We start from the raw sequence: 17,660 nt of genomic DNA, 5'->3' as shown, positions 1-17,660 counted from the left end.
TATAATCCAGCAATTCTGCTGGGTGTATGTCCAAAAGAAAGGAAATCAATATATCAAAGAAATCACCACATATTCATGTTTATTGCAGCACTATTCACAATATCTGAAATATGGAATCAACCAAAATGCCCATCAGTGGATTAATGGATAAAGAAAATGTGGCACATATACACAATAAAAGAAATCCTTTAATATGCAGCAACATGGAGGGAATTGGAGGTCATTATGTTAAGTGAAATAAGCCAAGTACAGAAAGACAAATATCACATGTTCTCACTTATATATAGTAGATAAAAATGTGGATCTCATAAAGATAAAGAGTAGATTGGTGGTAACCAGAGACTAGGAAAAGTAGGGGAAAGAGGAGATGAAGAGAGGTTGGTTAATAGTTACAAATATACAGTTTGATAGAAGCAGTAGCACCATTGTTTGCTAGATCAGTAGGGTGACTATAGTTTACAATAATCTGTTGTATAATATATTTCAAAATAACTGGAATGTAATTTGAATATTTCTAGCATAAAGAAAAGACAAGGTGGGGCGTGGTGGCTCATGCCTGTAATCCCAGCACTTTGGGAGGCCAAGGTGGGCGGATCACCTGAGGTCGGGAGTTTGAGACCAGCCTGACCAACATGGAGAAACCCTGTCTCTACTAAAACAAAATTAGCCAGGCGTGGTGGTGCATGCCTGTAATCCCAGCTACTTGGGAGGCTGAGGCAGAATTTGTTGAACCTGGGAGGCAGAGGTTGTGGTGAGCCGAGATCACGCCATTACACTCCAGCCTGGGCAACAAGAGTGAAACTCTGTCTCAAAAAAAAAAAAAAGATGAATATTTAAGGTGATAGATATCCCAATTATACTGATTTGATATTTACAAATTATATGAATGTAATAAATAGCACATGTATCCCATGCATGCCTATGTTCATTACAGCACTATTCACAATAGCAAAGACATGGAATCAACCCAAATGCCCATCAGTGATAGACTGGATAAAGAAAATGTGGTACATATGCAGCTGTAAAAAGGAACAAGATCATGTCCTTTGCAGGACATGAATGGAGCTCGAAGCCATTATCCTCAGCAAACTAATGCAAAAACAGAAAACCAAACACCACATATTATCACTTATAAGTGGGAGCTGAACAATGAGAACACATGGACACAGGAAGAGGAACAACATACACTGGAACCTGTTGGGGTGGTTGGCTGGGGGGCAAGAGGTGGGAGAGCATCAGGATAAATAGTTAATGCATGCAGGGCTTAATACCTAGGTGATGGGCTGATAGGTGCAGCAAACCACCATGGCACATGTTTACATGTAACAAACTTGCATGTCCTGTACGTGTGTCCCGGAAATTAAATTTATTAAAAATTTATTACACGTATCCCCAAAATATGTACATCTATTATTTATTAATTTAAAAATTGCCTTGGATATTTTTGGCGCTTTACTCTTCCATATGGATTTTAGGCATACTCTGTGAGGCTCAACAAAACACTGGATATTTAAGCTAGAATGCAGTAAATGTATAGATTAATTTATGAGAATTAACATATTTATAAAATGTGTTTCTGTTCATGAACATGATATGTCTTTCCAGTTAGATGGTCTCACATCTTTTAATAAAACATCATAATTTTTTCCATATAGGTAGTGAATCAATCTCTTTTGTTATGCCTAATTACCTCATAGTATTTGTTATTGTAAAGAGGTTAATTTTCAAGTTTTTATTTTATAATTGTTTGTTGCTGGTATATGACTTTATAGCCAACAAACTTGCTGATGTCTTATTAGTTCTAATAGTTTACATTTTTTCTTGGATGTTATTTGTAGATAATCGTATCATTTAATATAAAAATAATTTTGTTTCTTTTCAATCTTTATCCTCCATTTCTCTTTCTTATTGCAATGTCTAGCACCTTTAATACAGTGTTTATTGAAATACTAGTAGACATCCTTATCCTTTTCCTGTCTTTAAAGGGAATGATTCTAATATTTTACCACTAAATATGATATCTTCCATAGGTTGATGAATTTATTTATATATTATCTAGTAGTGAATCATCCTTACATTTCTGAAATAAATGTTTTTGGTCATTGTATTAGTTATCTATTGCTATGTAACAAATTCTCACAAACTTAGTGGCTTAAAACAATGCACACTTATTATATTACACTTTCTGTAGGTCAGGAGTCCAAGTGTGACTTTGTCGGGTCCTCTGCATTGCCGTAGTCCAAGGTGTCAGCTGGAGCTAGGGTCTAATATGGCACTTGACTGGGAAGCATTTCCTTTTAAACTGATGTGGTTGTTGGCAGAGTTCAGTTCTTTGCAGGCTGTCAGATTAAAGACCTTAGTTTGTTGCTGGTGGGAGGCTGCCCTCAGTTCCTTGCCACATGGCTATCTCCATAAGCAGCTCACAACATGGCAGCCTGCTTCTTCAGAGCCAGCAAGGGAGAGTGTTTCTCAGCAAAACAGATGTTACCGTCTTACGTAGTGTAATCACATACACATAGTCGTATATATCTTGTCACCTTTGCCGTATTCCATTGGTTGGAAGCATGTCATATTCCCACACCCAATGGGAGGTAATTACACAAGGATGCGTCTGGCTGTGGCCTAGACATCATATTTCTGGAAGTGACAGAAAATGACATAATGGGATAGATATTTATTTTTTCCATGTAAACAGCATCTTCAGGTCAGCAGCTTTGGGTTGGTGTGGCAACTGTATTGTGGGTAGACTCTTGGGTCTTGAGTTCCTTCGAGTCACACTAGGATGCCATCCCTAAGGAATAGCCCTTCCTCATCATCCCAGATGGCAAGATCTGCATTCCAGGGAGCAGGGTGGAAGGAGCGACATAGAAGAGGAGGTAAAGGGCACTTAAAAATCTCTTAAGGGGATCCCAGAAGCTGTCAAATGATGCTTCTGCTTATAATCTGTTGGCCAAAACGTAGTGCCTTGGCCATACCTCCCTGCAAAGGAGGCCGAGAAATATAGTCTTTATACTTTATTTGCCCAGCAAAAATTCTGCTACTGTGGAAGAATGGGAGAACAGATTGTGGGGGACCACTAGCAGCTTCCATCTCAGCTAGCTTTCAGTTACAAAAGAAAAAGTTTCTCTTTTCTCTTGGCTCTGGAATAGTTTAGCATAAGATTATTTATTTATATTTTTTTAATTATTATTTTCTAAATTTTACTTTTTTCAATAGTTTTTTGGGAACAGGTGGTGTTTAGTTGCCTGGATAAGTTCTTTAGTGGTGATTTCTGAGATTTTGGTGCACCTGTCACCAGAACAGTGTACACTATACCCAATGTGTGTAGTCTTTTATCCCTCACCCCCTCCCACCCTTCCCCGAGTCCCCAAAGTCCATTATATAATTCTTAGGCCTTTGTGTCCTTGTAGTTTAGCGCCCAAGGATTATTTATTTTTTTGATGTTTGAAAAGATAACCTGAAAAATTACCAATTACTCTATTTCTTATGTGTAGAAGAGCATAGCATACCAAGAGAGTACTGGACTCACCTGGACCAGGTATGCTGTGGATATGAGAAAGGCTGGCTGTGGAAAAGGAGCCTGCTAGGGGCAGGGGCTTTACATATACTGTCTCATTTAATCCTCACAACAACTGCCAGAGTGAGGGGTAGGATTTTGGCTTCACAGAGGAGGGTCCTCACCCAAGAGCATGCAGTTAACTTATGGGATGGTTACACTTCAAACCTAAAGCATTGATGTCAAAGCCCATGTTCTTTCTATAGTTTGAAGAGCTAGCAGACTCTCTCAGAAAGGGCCATCTCTCTGAAGGTCTTGAGTGGGGTTCCTAGTCTCTTTCTTCATCACTCACACAAGCTTTTGACTTGGATATCTGGAGGATATAGGTAATGATAGGGAGGGAGCAGGTGGGATTTGTGGCAAGGTCTCCTCATTCAGCCTAGCACCCATAGTCGTGTAGTGATTGCCATGGGACTCAGTACATCCGTTCTGCACCTTGCTTTCCTTCCATGGTCTGCGTATGCATTAGAAGGTGTACAGTGGGCACTGACTGGAGTGAGCCTCATCAGGAGTCCAGTACCTACAGGCTTCTGCCCTTTGGCAGCAAACCTGAAAGAGAGCTCTGACCAGCCTTTTTAGAAATAGCCCTGATTTAACTAGAGTAAGCATGCTTCTAAACTCTGCTGCTATGGTCCATTTTTTGGATCAAGCCCCTTCTGGATGGGTTCTCTGTGATATTTAAGTCACAAGGACATAGATGGGGAACCTTCTCCGTTGTATTTCTTCTCTTCTCTCCTTCTGCCAAATACTTTTGAGTGTTTGTTTGTTAAATTCTGATCAGTTAGATGTATTCTCTCCCAGCAGCTCTTCTTCTGTAACCATAGTTCAATACTTAAAAGTGGAGAATCTGTCAAGGATAGAGGGAGGGCAACTATTGAAGGATGGCAGGAAATATCGACCCTGTACCCTGATGATGACCAGCCCTGCTTTGCAGCCTGTGCTGCCTGGATAGAAGGCCTGCTGGGGGAGTCTTGGGGCTTTTTTAGGGAGTTAGTGTATCCCATTATCTCAGAATGTGTGCAAAATGTGGAATGAACAGCCCTGAGTAAAAGAGGCTGTCATGTGGCTGTGGAACAGAAGGATTTCCTTGTATTGGACAATCCATAATCCCTTTGTTTCAGGGAAATCTCTAAGACTGACTTCCCATGCTGCCTCCCAGCCCCTACTGCATTTCACTTGCATACACAGCCTTGAGGTCTAAAGCTAATTTATTTCTATCCCATTTTCTCTCAGCTTTTATTCTGCATTTAATCAGTTGCCTTGGTCCCACAGCTACTTCAGCCAGGCTGCTGGGAAAAGATTATAGCTGGCCCTGGTGCCCCAGCCTCCATCCAGAGCATCTGGCCAACACGCCAGAAAACAGAATGTCTCAGGCCTTCCTACTCTTTCTGACTGGCAATTGCAGGATGGTGTAGGCTATAGAGACTCCTGTCATGAAGCCTTCATTTTTCAGATCACCCGGAAAAAGGAAAGGATAAAGACTGTTTTAAAAAGCCGGCTGGGGGTGGGGCATGGTGGCTAACGCCTGTAATCCCAACACTTTAGGAAGCTGAGGCAGGCGGATCACCTGAGGCTGGGAGTTTGAGACGAGCCTGGCCAACATGGCAAAACCCCGTCTCTACTAAAAATACAAAAATTAGACAGATGTGATGATGGGTGCCTGTAATCCCAGCTACTTGGGAGGCTAAGGCAGGAGAATCGCTTGAACCCAGGAGGTAGAGGTTGCGGTGAGCCGAGATCGCGCCACTGGACTTCAGCAAGACTCTGTCACGAAGAAAAGAAAAGCCAGCTGGGGCCTGTTTGGGGCTCATGCCTCTAATCCTAGCACTTTGTGAGACTGAGGTGAGAGGATCACTTGAGCCCTGGAATTTGGGACCAGCCTGGACAAAATAGTGAGATCCCATCTCTAACAAAAACAACAAAATTATCCAGGCATGGTTGGAGACTGAAGTGGGAGGATCCCTTGAACCTGGGAGGTCGAGGCTGCAGTGAGCCATGATAACGCCACTGGACTCCAGCCTGGGCAGCAGAATGAAACCCTGTCTCAAAATAAATAAAAAGCCAGCTGGAAAGCATCTAGAAAATAGAATGAAAGTCATCTGCCCAATTCCCAGCAGTCCTCCCCAGGTTACCTTCTACGGTTATCTGGTCATTTAGATTCTCATGGCAAGGAGTTGAGACTAAAGGCTGCCCTGGTTAGAGTTGCTGTTTGGCATTAGACTGGGATCTCTGTGGGCATCCTAGGACAACCTTCCCTCATAGTGGTCACACTGGTGCCTTTGCTCTGAGCAAGTGTCTTTCCACAGTCCTCATTGTCTAGATGGAAAACTCTTGGGTAAGTGTACGCTCACATTGGGTTGGATACAAAGATTCAAAGAGAAGCAAAGGCCAAAGCAAAAAAATGGGACCAGGAGTAAACTTGCTGGGCGGTCCAGGAAGAGAGGGCAGGAAGACGCAAGCCCTGGTGCCTACCTGTGACCCTTAACGTGAAATTCCTGTCGCACGCATGCCTTTCCCAAAGAGCCATGGACAGTGATCAGTGGCTGAATGGAGGAGCCTCTGTTCCCACTCAGTACCTCTGCTGCAGTGATTTGTTCAAGACCACAGAGCCAGCTGGCAGTCAGAATGAGAAGATGAGTCAGAAACTCTGAGTTTTCAGGATAAGACATGGCCTTCAGATGGCATTTCCCGTGCAGTTAGAGAAGTCCTAGGATCAGAAGTGATGTGTTCCTGCAAAGTTCATGTAAAGCCACCCTCTCCACCCCTGTAACTCACTATGAACTGTGACTTAAATGAGCTGCAGTTTCCCCTTTTGCAAAGGAGAGAAACTGTTGGGGGCTTATCAAGCTAGATGATGCCTTAGAGGGCAAAAGGTGTCCTACATAAAGGAGTGCGGCCCTTGTTTCCAGCCTTCTTCCCCTCCCTCCTTCCGTATCTCTCTCCTTTCCTTCCTGTCTTCCTTCCTCTCTTTCTTCCCTCCCTCCTGTGCTGCTGCCATCTGCCCTCAGATATGTGTAGTGACCACTGGGGGCCCCATTTTTCTCTTGCCATGGCTAATCTTGATGGTGTTCGTGAAGTCTGTACACAGAGGTTCATTCAAACCATATGACTAAGATAATTTCTGTAATTTTTGGTAGAGATGGGGTTTCACTGTGTTGGCCAGGCTGGTCTAGAACTCCTGGCCTCAAGTGATCTGCCCGCCTTGGCCTCCCAAAGTGCTGGGATTACAGGTGTGAGCCACCATGCCTGGCTGGGATATATAAGATTCTTGTTTTCCCTGTGGAACATGGTCTGACTTCTCTGTAGTATTTTGGTAAGTGTCCAGATTACTGTCTATGAGATGACTTACTTAAACTTCATGTTTTCAACTCTGATTTGGTAATACAGTCACATGGCTCAAAATTCAAACGGCACCAGAGGATATGAAAAGTATCCTCCACTGTGTCCTTCCACCGTGTCCCTTTGCTACCCTGCTTCCCTGCCTCAAGGCAACCAGTGTTGTCAGTTTCTTCTAGAGATATTTTTCCATGTTAAAGTAAATATTTCCATATATTGTTTTTACATGAAAGGCAGTTTACTGTAGATTCATCATTCTGTAATTTACTTTTTCTGTTTAACTATATAAGTATTTTGTTTGCTTATTTGGTAGAGATACGGTCTCGCTCTCACCCAAGCTAGAGTGCAGGGGTGCAATCATAGCTTAGTGCAGCTTCAACCTCCTGGGCTCAAGCGATCCTCCTGCCTCAGCCTCCCAAGTAGCTGGGACCACAGGTACGTACCACCATGCCTGGCCAATTTAAAAATTTTTTGTAGAGATGGGGTTTCACTGGGTTGGTCAGGCTGGTAGCACTGTATCTTGAATATCATTCTTTATCAGTCCATAAAGAGCTTCTTAGGAGATAGTTTCTTTGCTTTCAATAGTTGTAGAATGACTCAGGTGGAAACTTTTGGGAAAATGCTTACATTGACCTACGTTTAAAAATGACAGTGCTTCAATTAATTAGACTTATTAGTAGGCAAAATTTATTGTTTAAACGAAGGAGGTATTTGATTGTTGTGTCTAAGAAGTGATTACTGATGGTTTTTTAGAGCCAATATGACTCACAAAACATCTTTGATGTTAAGTTTGGAATGCCTATGTCATTAGTTCTGATTGGGAATCTGTGTAATTCAAAATTTTAGTTTAAAATCTGTTAAGGCAATAAAGAAGCCACATGCTGTGTCTCCTTGGCTGCAGCATGTTCCCTCCATTGTGCTGGGACTGTTCTGTAAGAACCAGGTGTACGGGTCTGTGCTAGGCGTACAATGGCCACCAGGAGCTTTGGACTCTGGAGAGGCCCAAATGCTTTGTCTTTACAATTGTAAAAAGTAAAAAGTAAAAAACTTGGCCAGGCGCAGTGTCTCACATCTATAATCCCAACACTTTGGGAGGCTGAGGTGGGCAGATCACCTGAGGTCAGGAGTTTGAGACCAGGCTGGCCAACATGGTGAAACCCTGTCTCTACTAAAAATACAAAATTAGCTGGGCATGGTGGCGCATGCCTGTAATCCCAGCTACTTGGGAGGCAGAGGCAGAATTGCTTGAACCCGGGAGATGGATGTTGCATTGAGCCGAGATCACGCCATTGCACTCTAGCCTGGGTGACAAGAGCAAAACTCTTGTCTCAAAAAATAAAAAGCTCAACTATTTTCATTTTCTCTGTTGAAACCTGCTGACAAGTTAGGCTTGCTTCTAGATCCAGGTGGCCAGCTGGTTGGGCCGTGGCCCTTTCCATGGTCATGCTCCTGGTAAAGAGATTATCCTCAGGGTAGGGGATGAGATGGGTGTAGTAAGAGGGCTCCATTTAGAGTGTTTGCCAGGGCAGTCACTTTAATGCTTCTATGAGAGCCAGGCTATGCAGGAATACAAAAGCCATATATCATGCCCTTTAGAGGAGTGTGAGGGTTTAGACTCCTCAGGGCCAGCTGAAAACTTCTAGAGGTCCTACACATTGAAAAGAATATGGTGCCCTATCTTCCCTGACCTCCCTGCCTTCATGAATAGGTAATGCAAAATAAAAATAATTCTAAATTTTAGGTTAAGTCCTCTGGTCCCAGAATGGATGACTAGTTAGATTTTTTTTTTAATAATGCAATCCCAGCACTGTGGGAGGCCGAGTGGGTAGATCAATTGAGGCCAGGAGTTTGAGACCAGCCTGGCCAACATGGTGAAACCCCATCTGTACCAAAAAAGATACAAAAAGCAACCAAGAGTGGTGGTGTGTGCCTGTAGTCCCAGCTACTTGGGAGGCTGAGGTGGGAGGATCACTTAAGGAGATTACAGTGAGCTGTGATCATGCCACTGCACTCCAGCCTGGGTGACAGAGCCAGGCCCTGTCTCAAAATAAATAAAATAAAATAAAATAAAATAAAATAAAATAAAATAAAATAAAATAATCTATCATAAATAAAACAAAATAGTGCATCAAATATCAAATTGACCCAATTTTTTTTCCCCTCCCATGTTTTAGGTACCTATGTTGTGCCCAAGGACAAATTGAGTCTTTCTGTTGTCTGATCCAATCTCAGGAGTTTCTGATTCTCCTGAGAAGCTGCCCTTTTCCAAGGATTTGGGGGCAGGAATTATTTTACAATGTCAAGAAGTTTGAAGTTAAAATTGTTTTTGTTTATATTTACAAATATCTTTATCTGAACAGAACTTTAAAGTAGCTCTGAAATTTTTCTTCAAGAAATGTATTTTCTTTTTGAGTGTTCCATGATGAAATCAGTCTTAATTTCAGTTCAACTAGTGTGTAAAAACACACAGTGAGTGATTATTAGTCCCCGAAGGAGGCAAGACAGATGGAGCCTAGAATGGAATTGGCTTTATGATTAATTGAATCCTTGAAGAGTTGAATAGAGTTAGAGCTGATTCTGCCCAATCAGTGCCTTGAGAGGGCTGGTGTTGTCCTGCGCCTGGGAGAGGAAAGGGTCACAATAACCCAGATTTATCCTCTATTAAAATGGATTGGATGTATGCACCAGACGGTTCCCATTTTTAAACCATTGATGCAGGATAATTGGAATGGAAACAAACAAGATTAGAACTAGATTACAGGTATTTGTGCAAGTTGCGTCCTAAATCAATCAGAGTCCGTGATTTGTTCAGAGGGTGCATTATCATTAGAGTGAATCATTGAAACTCAGAGACACATCTGGAGCTGTCCAGCCAGGAGGGGAAGCAGGGGAAGGGCAGCAGAGAGCTGCTTGGAGTTGGGAACTAGGTACAACTCCAGAGTGCTTTTCTGTCTTTCTGGGCAGAAATCTTCCAGAGAGAATTTTAATTTAATTTTGCTCTTTTTTCTTTCCAGCAGGGATGCATAATGTATAGGTTTGAAATAACTGCCTCTTTGCTATAGTGAATGGACGCTTTTTTAATGTTTGGATCAAACAGACACCTGGGGTAGCTGCTGCCTGTGGGGACCCTGCAATCCAGAGGGAGGGAAGGGAGAGGGCCTGGCGCTGTAGGTGGACTAGCCATGTTAATCACAAAGTCCATTAGGATGATGGGTGCCCTGCTGCCTTGCCAGGGAGCCTGTTAGTACAGAACATCATCTGTGGAGCTGGAGATTGCAGGGTTTGCCTTCATCAGCGGGCTCTACTTCACTGGCCAGTCGCTGAGGGAGGAAGTCCACGTTCCCGCCCACAGCTCTGCCACCACTTATCTCTAGCCATGGCCATGGGGTGGGAGGTGATGCAAATATGTACAGGGGCCCCTGACTCAGTGTGACTCTGACCTAGTCCTGAACTCAGGAGTCTGGACACATGGGATACAGTCTTGGGTCGACAGTCAGAGAACTGACTTTTAAGCCATCATTTTACTTCTGTGAGACTTTAAGTCTCTGTGAAAACAAGAGCACTAGATATGAGGTTCTTTCTGGCTTGAGAAGTGTGCCCTGAGTTCCTTCCTTCCTGAATTGTATACCCATGCCAAGTCCCTGGCAGCGTGCTGGGTTAGGCCCATAGAAGCTTCACGTGATAGGCAAGTCTCACCCTTACCTTTGAACTACACTGGTTTGTTTCTCTTCATTTTTCCATTTTGAGCTGCCGTGAGTCAGGCTGCAGGCAGCTCATTTACACAGGAGTCAGCCTGAAGGAAGGTGGCTTGAAGTCTACTTTCATTTTGTCATGGGAGGTGTTTTCCTGTGGAATCGCTAATCAGGCAGGTCAAAGGGAACCATAAGGGATCTCACTCATCCCTAGATGGAAACAAGTACAGCAAAGCCATCTCAGAAGGAGACCAAAAACACACAAAAACAACTCCCCTGACAGCATTTCTTAACTCTGGCACTCTCAAAATTGAACATACTTAAAATATCCCCAAGGGATGGAGGTGAGGTTTCTTGGTCCCACATCAGAGCTGGTGAACCAGGGCCCATGCCACACCCTTAGGATGCTATAGAGATAAGAGCTGAGCCCTGCTTCTCTTCTCCCCATGTGCCCACTGCCATGTCCTGCCATTACCTCGGCCCCTCTAGCTGCTCTGGCTGTAGCTTCCACTGCTGCCGTTGTGCCAGGCACAAATGAGTTTAATTTGCCTATTTTGCTGGTGTCCCCTTTGTGAAGAATAGCGCCTGAGAAGCATCTCATCCCCTGTGTCTGATACAGCCTTTGTTCTTATCAGAGGCATCGCCCTGCTTTCCAGCTTAGACTCAGCTGGACCCTTTGCCCACACCCTAGCTTGGGCCCTCAAGAGCAAGAAGTGGTCAGATTTTCCTTCCTGCTTTTGTCTGGGTATAAGGGGATGGTAGGGGTTGGTAATCCCACTTGGGAGGCTATGCCTGATTCTCTAGAGCTCACAGGCCTCAAGAATGCATAAGAGGCTGGGTGCAGTGGCTCATGCCTGTAATCCTAGCACTTTGGGAGGCTAAGGTGGGTGGATCACCTGAGGTCAGGAGTTTGAGACCAGCCTGGCCAACAGGGCAAAACCCAATCTCTACTAAAAATACAAAAATTAGCCAGGCATGGTGGCACATGCCTGTAGTCCCAGCTGTTTGGGAGGCTGAGGCAGGAGAATCGCTTGAACCTAGGAGGCACAGGTTGCAGTGAGCCAAGATCACCCCACTGCACTCCAGCCTGGGTGACAGAGTCTCCAGAGTGAGACTCTGTCTCAAAAAAAAAAAAACAAAAGCAAACAAAAAAAAAAACACCGTAAGAGAGGGAGGGTTGGTGGGATAGTATCAGTCCTGCCTGAGACTAAGTAATCCTTGGCATCCAGGTTCTAAGGAGTTCATTCCTCTTTTGTACTTGAGCCTGGATATTATCTCTCATCTGCCTTGAGTGCTGTTTCTCCTGAAGTCCTGCAAGCACAGCTGCTCTATTCAGTGACAAGAGGACAGACCAGACACTTGAGCCTGCTGGTTATATAAGGTGCAGGAGATCTTATTCAGTGCCTTCCTCAGCCTTTGATTTTTCAGATCTTGATTGGAACCTATCCTCTGCACCAGGATTAGCTACCTTTGCTAATCCCCCGACATAGCCCAGTGTGACAGGAAGCTTTGATTTTAGCCTTCAGGATGACACACACTACTTGTGGCCTCCTGTCCCACCTATCTGCCTGATGCCCAGAGCTGTGGGCAGGGTATGTATCATGGAGATGGCTGGATGAGCTGTTTCCAGCAGAGGAAGCTCTTGTCTAGTGGTGGTTAGGGTCCATCTCTGGGAGGAGGGATGCTCACTTGGCATGTGTCTCACAGAGACTGTGTCTGTCTGCTTGGGCATCACTGTCATTCATGTTCATAGTTTCTGCCAGACGTCACTCTTGGGAGTAGAGTTCTGTGTTGGGGAGGGGTGGAGCGTGGGAGTCCGGGCAGGGTAGAGTGGGTGGTTGGACGGGAATCTCCTTGGACACACATCTGTGTGTCGCATGGGTAAGATTGGACCTGTCCTTTCTCTGCCTCCCTTTGTGTGGCACTCCAGCCTCTGGACTACTAGGTGGGTGTGATTGATTTCTTTTTTCTTTTTTTTTTTTCGAGACAAAATCTCGCTCTGTCGCCCAGGCTGGAGTGCAGTGGCGCGATCTCGGCTCACTGCAAGCTCCTCCGCCCGGGTTCACGCCATTCTCCTGCCTCAGCCTCCCGAGTACCTGGGACTACAGGCATCTGCCACCACGCCTGGCTAATTTTTTGTACTTATAGTAGAGAAAGGCTTTCACCATGTTAGCCAGGATGGTCTCAATCTCCTGACCTCGTGATCCGCCCTCCTCGGCCTCCCAAAGTGCTGGGATGACAGGTGTGAGCCACCGCGCCCGGCCTTTTTTTTTTTTTTTTTTTTTTTTTTTTGAGACAGTGTCTCACTCTGTCACCCAGAATGGAGTGCAGTGGCATGATCTTGGCTCACTGCACCCTCTGCCTTCTGGGTTCAAGTGATTCTCGTGCCTCAGCCCCCCTGAGTTGCTGGGACTAATAGGTGCAAGCCGCCATGCCTGGCTAATTTTTGTATTTTTAGCAGAGATGGTGTTTCACCATGTTGCCCAGGCTGGCCTCGAACTCCTAACCTTAGGTGATCTGCCTGCCTCAGCCTCCCAAAGTGCTGGGATTACAGGCATGAGCCACCACGCCCAACTGGTAGGTGTGATTCTTGATGGCACACAGGAAGAGGAAGACTAAGCCAAGGAGTGGTCATGTCTAAGGGCTTCCCGCCAAGAGGATGCTTTTTGGAATAGTGCTTGATGCCACCCTCCACCCATGGGTGTTTTGTTAAAAGGTTAACTTTGCTAAACATCTGAAAAGAACTATGCTAGGGAAGTTCTGTCCTAGGGAGATGCCATCCAGGGATGCAGAGGGCCGCAGAGACCAGGAGCACCGGCATCCCACTGACTTGTACAGTGACCTTGGCCAAACCCCTTGGCCTCTCCTGCCCTTTACTTGAAGTGGGGAATATTCTCCTGCTCCTGCTGGAGCCATGGAGAGATAGATGAAATTGTCTCTATAAAATGCTCTGATTGTTTTGGAAGAAAAATGTTGTATCACTGCCAGTTGTTGTTGTTATTAACAGTGACACTTAAAAATCGATAGGGCATCGCTCTGAGGAGCTGCAAATACTGCCTGTGGCTGTTTGTTTTCCAATTTATTCTCACCTTTTCCTAATGGAGGGAGGGGCAGATGCTGCCCACCCTGCACACCTTGCTGGTGGTTGGGAGGATTTATCTTGAGGTGATGAGAACAAATGGGGCCGGTGAACTGGACAAATGCATTTGCCAGCTGGGTTTGTTGCCCATGGCAAACATGCTCAGGGAAGCCAGCTCATTTGACAAAAGTTTACTGAATTTCAACTCTGTTACACTCTTAGAGGATAGGAAGATGCATTTGGCATGGTTACTGTCCTCAAAATGTTTAGAGTCTAGACCAAGACATGAAGAATATTTAGAAAAAAGTACCTACAACATGTCAGGCACCGAGCTGAGAGTCACTGCATGCTCTCATTGAATCTGGCCAAGTAAGTACTGTTATGGAGTAAAGACAATTACTATTTCCATTTTATGCATGGAGAAACTGAGGCTTGGGGAGGTTAAGTACTTGCCTAGTGTCGCCCAGCTAGACTGTGTCAGAGCCAAGACATGAACCCAGGCAGCGTGACTTCAAAGCCAGACTTCTAACCACAGTGTGGTGCCAAGTGGTGATAAATGCTGAGAGAGAGAAAAAAAAAAGAGAGAGAGATTGAGAGCACGCGAGAGCAGGCGTGAGCGTGGGAGAGCAAGTGCTTTTCCTACAGGACTGACTTGGGTGAGATTTGCGCATCTGGGACAGAACAGAAACTCCAGTCCCTGCCCATCACTGGCCCACATACAATTTGGGTTCCTGTTGTTTTCTCTGTCCATGAATCATACTGAGCTTCACTCCTTGCCTTTATTTTCATGTGCCATCAGTCAGATCTAATCCCAGGGGGGAATATCCTGGTGCATGTGTATCAGGAGTGGGCAGTGGATAAGAAACTTGATTTCAGTGCCCCACTAGTCCCATGAAATGACTCTCATGAAATACTCCCATATGATCTGGACTCTGGGGAGGATAATTTGGGGACTCTCCCCTCCTTTTTTGTTACATTGGTTCTGATGCCTCCATAGTTGGATTCTCCAGTGGAGTCCTGCATTCACTTGCTCCCTCTTGCCAAGGGATCTTTTGGAGACTGTTGAGAACCTGAGTCACCTCTGAGGCATGAGTGCCATTATCAGCTTGTGGTCCGAGACCCAGAATGCTTCTCACAAGAAATCTCCTTCTTACTGGAGACAGGCACCCAGGGTAAACTTTTTTTTTTTTTTTTTTTTGGAGACAGAGTCTCACTCTGTTGCCCAGGCTAGAGGGCAGTGACGTGATCTTGGCTTGCTGCAACCTCCGCCACCTGGGTTCAAGCGATTCTCCTGCCTCAGCCTCTCAGCCTCTCAAGTAGCTGGGATTACAAGTATGCGCCACCAGAGCCAGCAAATTTTTGTATCTTTTATAGAAATGGGGTTTCTCCATGTTGGCCAGGCTAGTCTCAAACCCCTGACCTCAAGTGATCCGCCTGCCTCGGCCTCCCTAAGTGCTGGGATTACAGGCGAGAGCCACCATACCTGGCCCAGGGTGAACCTCTCATAAGAACATGAGGCTGCCATGGCAGCATTAGACCTGCCACACTGGGAGGAGAGTTTGCCTGTTGTTACCAAGCACAGGAGAGGGACTCTGCCACTGGGGAGGGGGTCAAGCACAGTATTTTTAGCAAGCAATCCTTTACTGTTTATTCAGCCACTTTAAAAATAGATACCACCCTTTCTTTCTAATTGGCACCATTTTTCATCCTCTGTCCTTGCTTTTCATACACTGAGCTGTTCATGAATATTTATTTACATTCCCAGAGGCAACTCCATATATGTGTGTGTGCATGCATGTGCCTCTAAAACTCACTGTGCCCTCCTTCCTTTCCCTCATGAAAAGTGACACAGTGGAAGTCTGGGATGGAAGGGCAAGGGCCCTTGCCTTTGAATACCTTTCTTGATGCTGCAACTGATGAGTTTCCAGACCTCTCTTTTGGACCCCTGCTTGTCTCTTAGGTTACCTCCTTCCCTGCCATGGGACTCATAGACTGGTTGTCCAAACTGTCCACCTTTTTTAGCACTTAGCCAACTTTAAGCACCCATACCACACCTCCAACCTCTTTGCCTGACTAAAATGCCTCCTCTCGGCAGTCAAGTCTAGGATCCCTGAGGTGCTTTGATGAAGCACCCTGGCATGGACATTCAGCTCTTCAGACTTCTTATTTCATTGTTCTTGGCAAAGGCTAGAAGAGGCAAGTTCATAGGCAAAATGTGGAAACAACCCTAATATCTGTCAACTTTATCTTTTGACTTCATCTCTTTTTCCTCAGTATAACCGCTTCCTGTCAGCCATGCTGACACACAGGCCCCTAGCGGTTTTTGTAAAGCAAGAGCCTAGAGCCCCCTTTGGGGGTGTTGCTGTGTGCTGAGGATTCTGGAAAGAACCTCACCCCTGTGACTAGGCCCTTTTGCCTGAGTTGTCCCCATTCCTGAGCCATTGTTCTGTCTTTTGCTCACCCGGGTGGCTGAAAAGACAGGATGACTACCTGAGCATTTCAGTCAGGGAGTTTGTTATTGATGATGCCGTTCACTTCTCAGGAGTGTTGCATCTAACACTGCCCCCATGCTCTTGTGGAAGACCGCATTCTCTCACTCTTTACAGCTCCTCTAGACAGAAATGATTCCAGATATCACTGTGTTCACCCCTGCCTCCTGGCAAGGAGCCCTCTCTCATAGCCCATCCCAACACTCATCTCCTCTGGCCCTAAAAATTCATACATTCATTAAAAAATATGAATTAGCCGGGTATGGTGACTTGTGCTGGTAGTCCCAGCTACTTAGGAGGCTGAGGTGGGAGGATCACTTGAGCCTGGGAGGCAGAGGCTGCAGTAAGTCGAGATCACGCCACTGCACTCCAGCCTGTGTGACAGAGTGAGACCCTGTCTCGAAAAAAAATTATTTAAAAAAGTCATGACTACCTATTATGTGCCAGGCATTTTGCTAGACTGAGGATGTGGTGGTGAACAAGACAGATAGGTGTTTCTTTTTACATGTCAGAAGTTGATTTTTTAGTCAGTCAGTATGTCATCAAAATTAAATACTCTTGGCTGGGTGCTGTGGCTCACGCCTGTAATCCCAGCACTTTGGGAGGCCAAGGCGGGCAGATCATGAGGTCAGGAGATCGAGACCAGCCTGGCCAACATGGTGAAACCCCGTCTCTACTAAAAATACAGAAATTAGCTGGGCGTGGTGGTGCACTCCTGTTATCCCAGCTACTTGAGAGGCTGAGGCAGGAGAATCGCTTGAACCCGGGAGGCAGAGGTTTCAGTGAGCCGAGATCATGCACTGCACTCCAGCCTGGCGACAGAGCGAGACTCCTTCTCAAAAAAAAAATAAAATAAAATTAAATTAAATTAAATACTCTTGTGCTTCAAAGGATACCATCAAGAAAGTGAAAAGGAAAACCACCGAATGGGAGAAAATTTTTACAAGTCATATATCTGGTAAGGGACTTTTTATCTAGAATACCTAAAGAATGTTTGCAACTCAGCAACAGAAAACAACGTAATTAAAAACTCCTACAATTCAACAATAAAAAGACAACCCAATTAAAAAATAGGCAAAGGATCTGAATGGACAGCTGTCCAGACAAGATAATGCAAATGTGCAGTAAGTACAGGAAATGATGCTCAACATCATTAACTCCCAGGAAAATGCAAACCCAACCACAATGAGAGAACACTGTATACTCAAAAAGATAGATAATAACAAGTGTTGACAAGGATGTGGAGAAATTGGGACCCTCATATACTGCTAGTGGAAATGTAAATTGATCCAACCATTTTGAAAAACACTACTAGTTCTTCAAATAGTTAAACATAGAGTTATCATGTGATCCAGCAATTCCAATGCTAGGTGTGTACCCAAGAGAAGTGAAACCATATTCCACACAAAAACTTGTACATGAATGTGCATAGCCTCAATATTCATAACAGCCAAAAAGTGGAAACAACCCAAGTATCTGTTGACTGAGAAATGGGTAAATATAATGTA

At 44.8% G+C, this 17,660-nt stretch overlaps 1 protein-coding gene across 5 annotated transcripts in view; it reads left to right on the top strand.

Annotated features, from left to right (window-relative positions):
• SIL1 (SIL1 nucleotide exchange factor) overlaps positions 1–17,660 on the top strand; it is a 251,645-nt gene that overhangs the window by 202,294 nt on the left and 31,691 nt on the right. The gene's annotated exons all lie outside the window — the stretch shown is intronic.

This window comes from Homo sapiens, chromosome 5 (genome assembly GCF_000001405.40).
Source record: "Homo sapiens chromosome 5, GRCh38.p14 Primary Assembly".
Lineage (NCBI taxonomy): Eukaryota > Metazoa > Chordata > Mammalia > Primates > Hominidae > Homo > Homo sapiens.
Note: the sequence above shows the minus strand (reverse complement) of the source record. Positions and strands in the feature narration are given on the sequence as shown.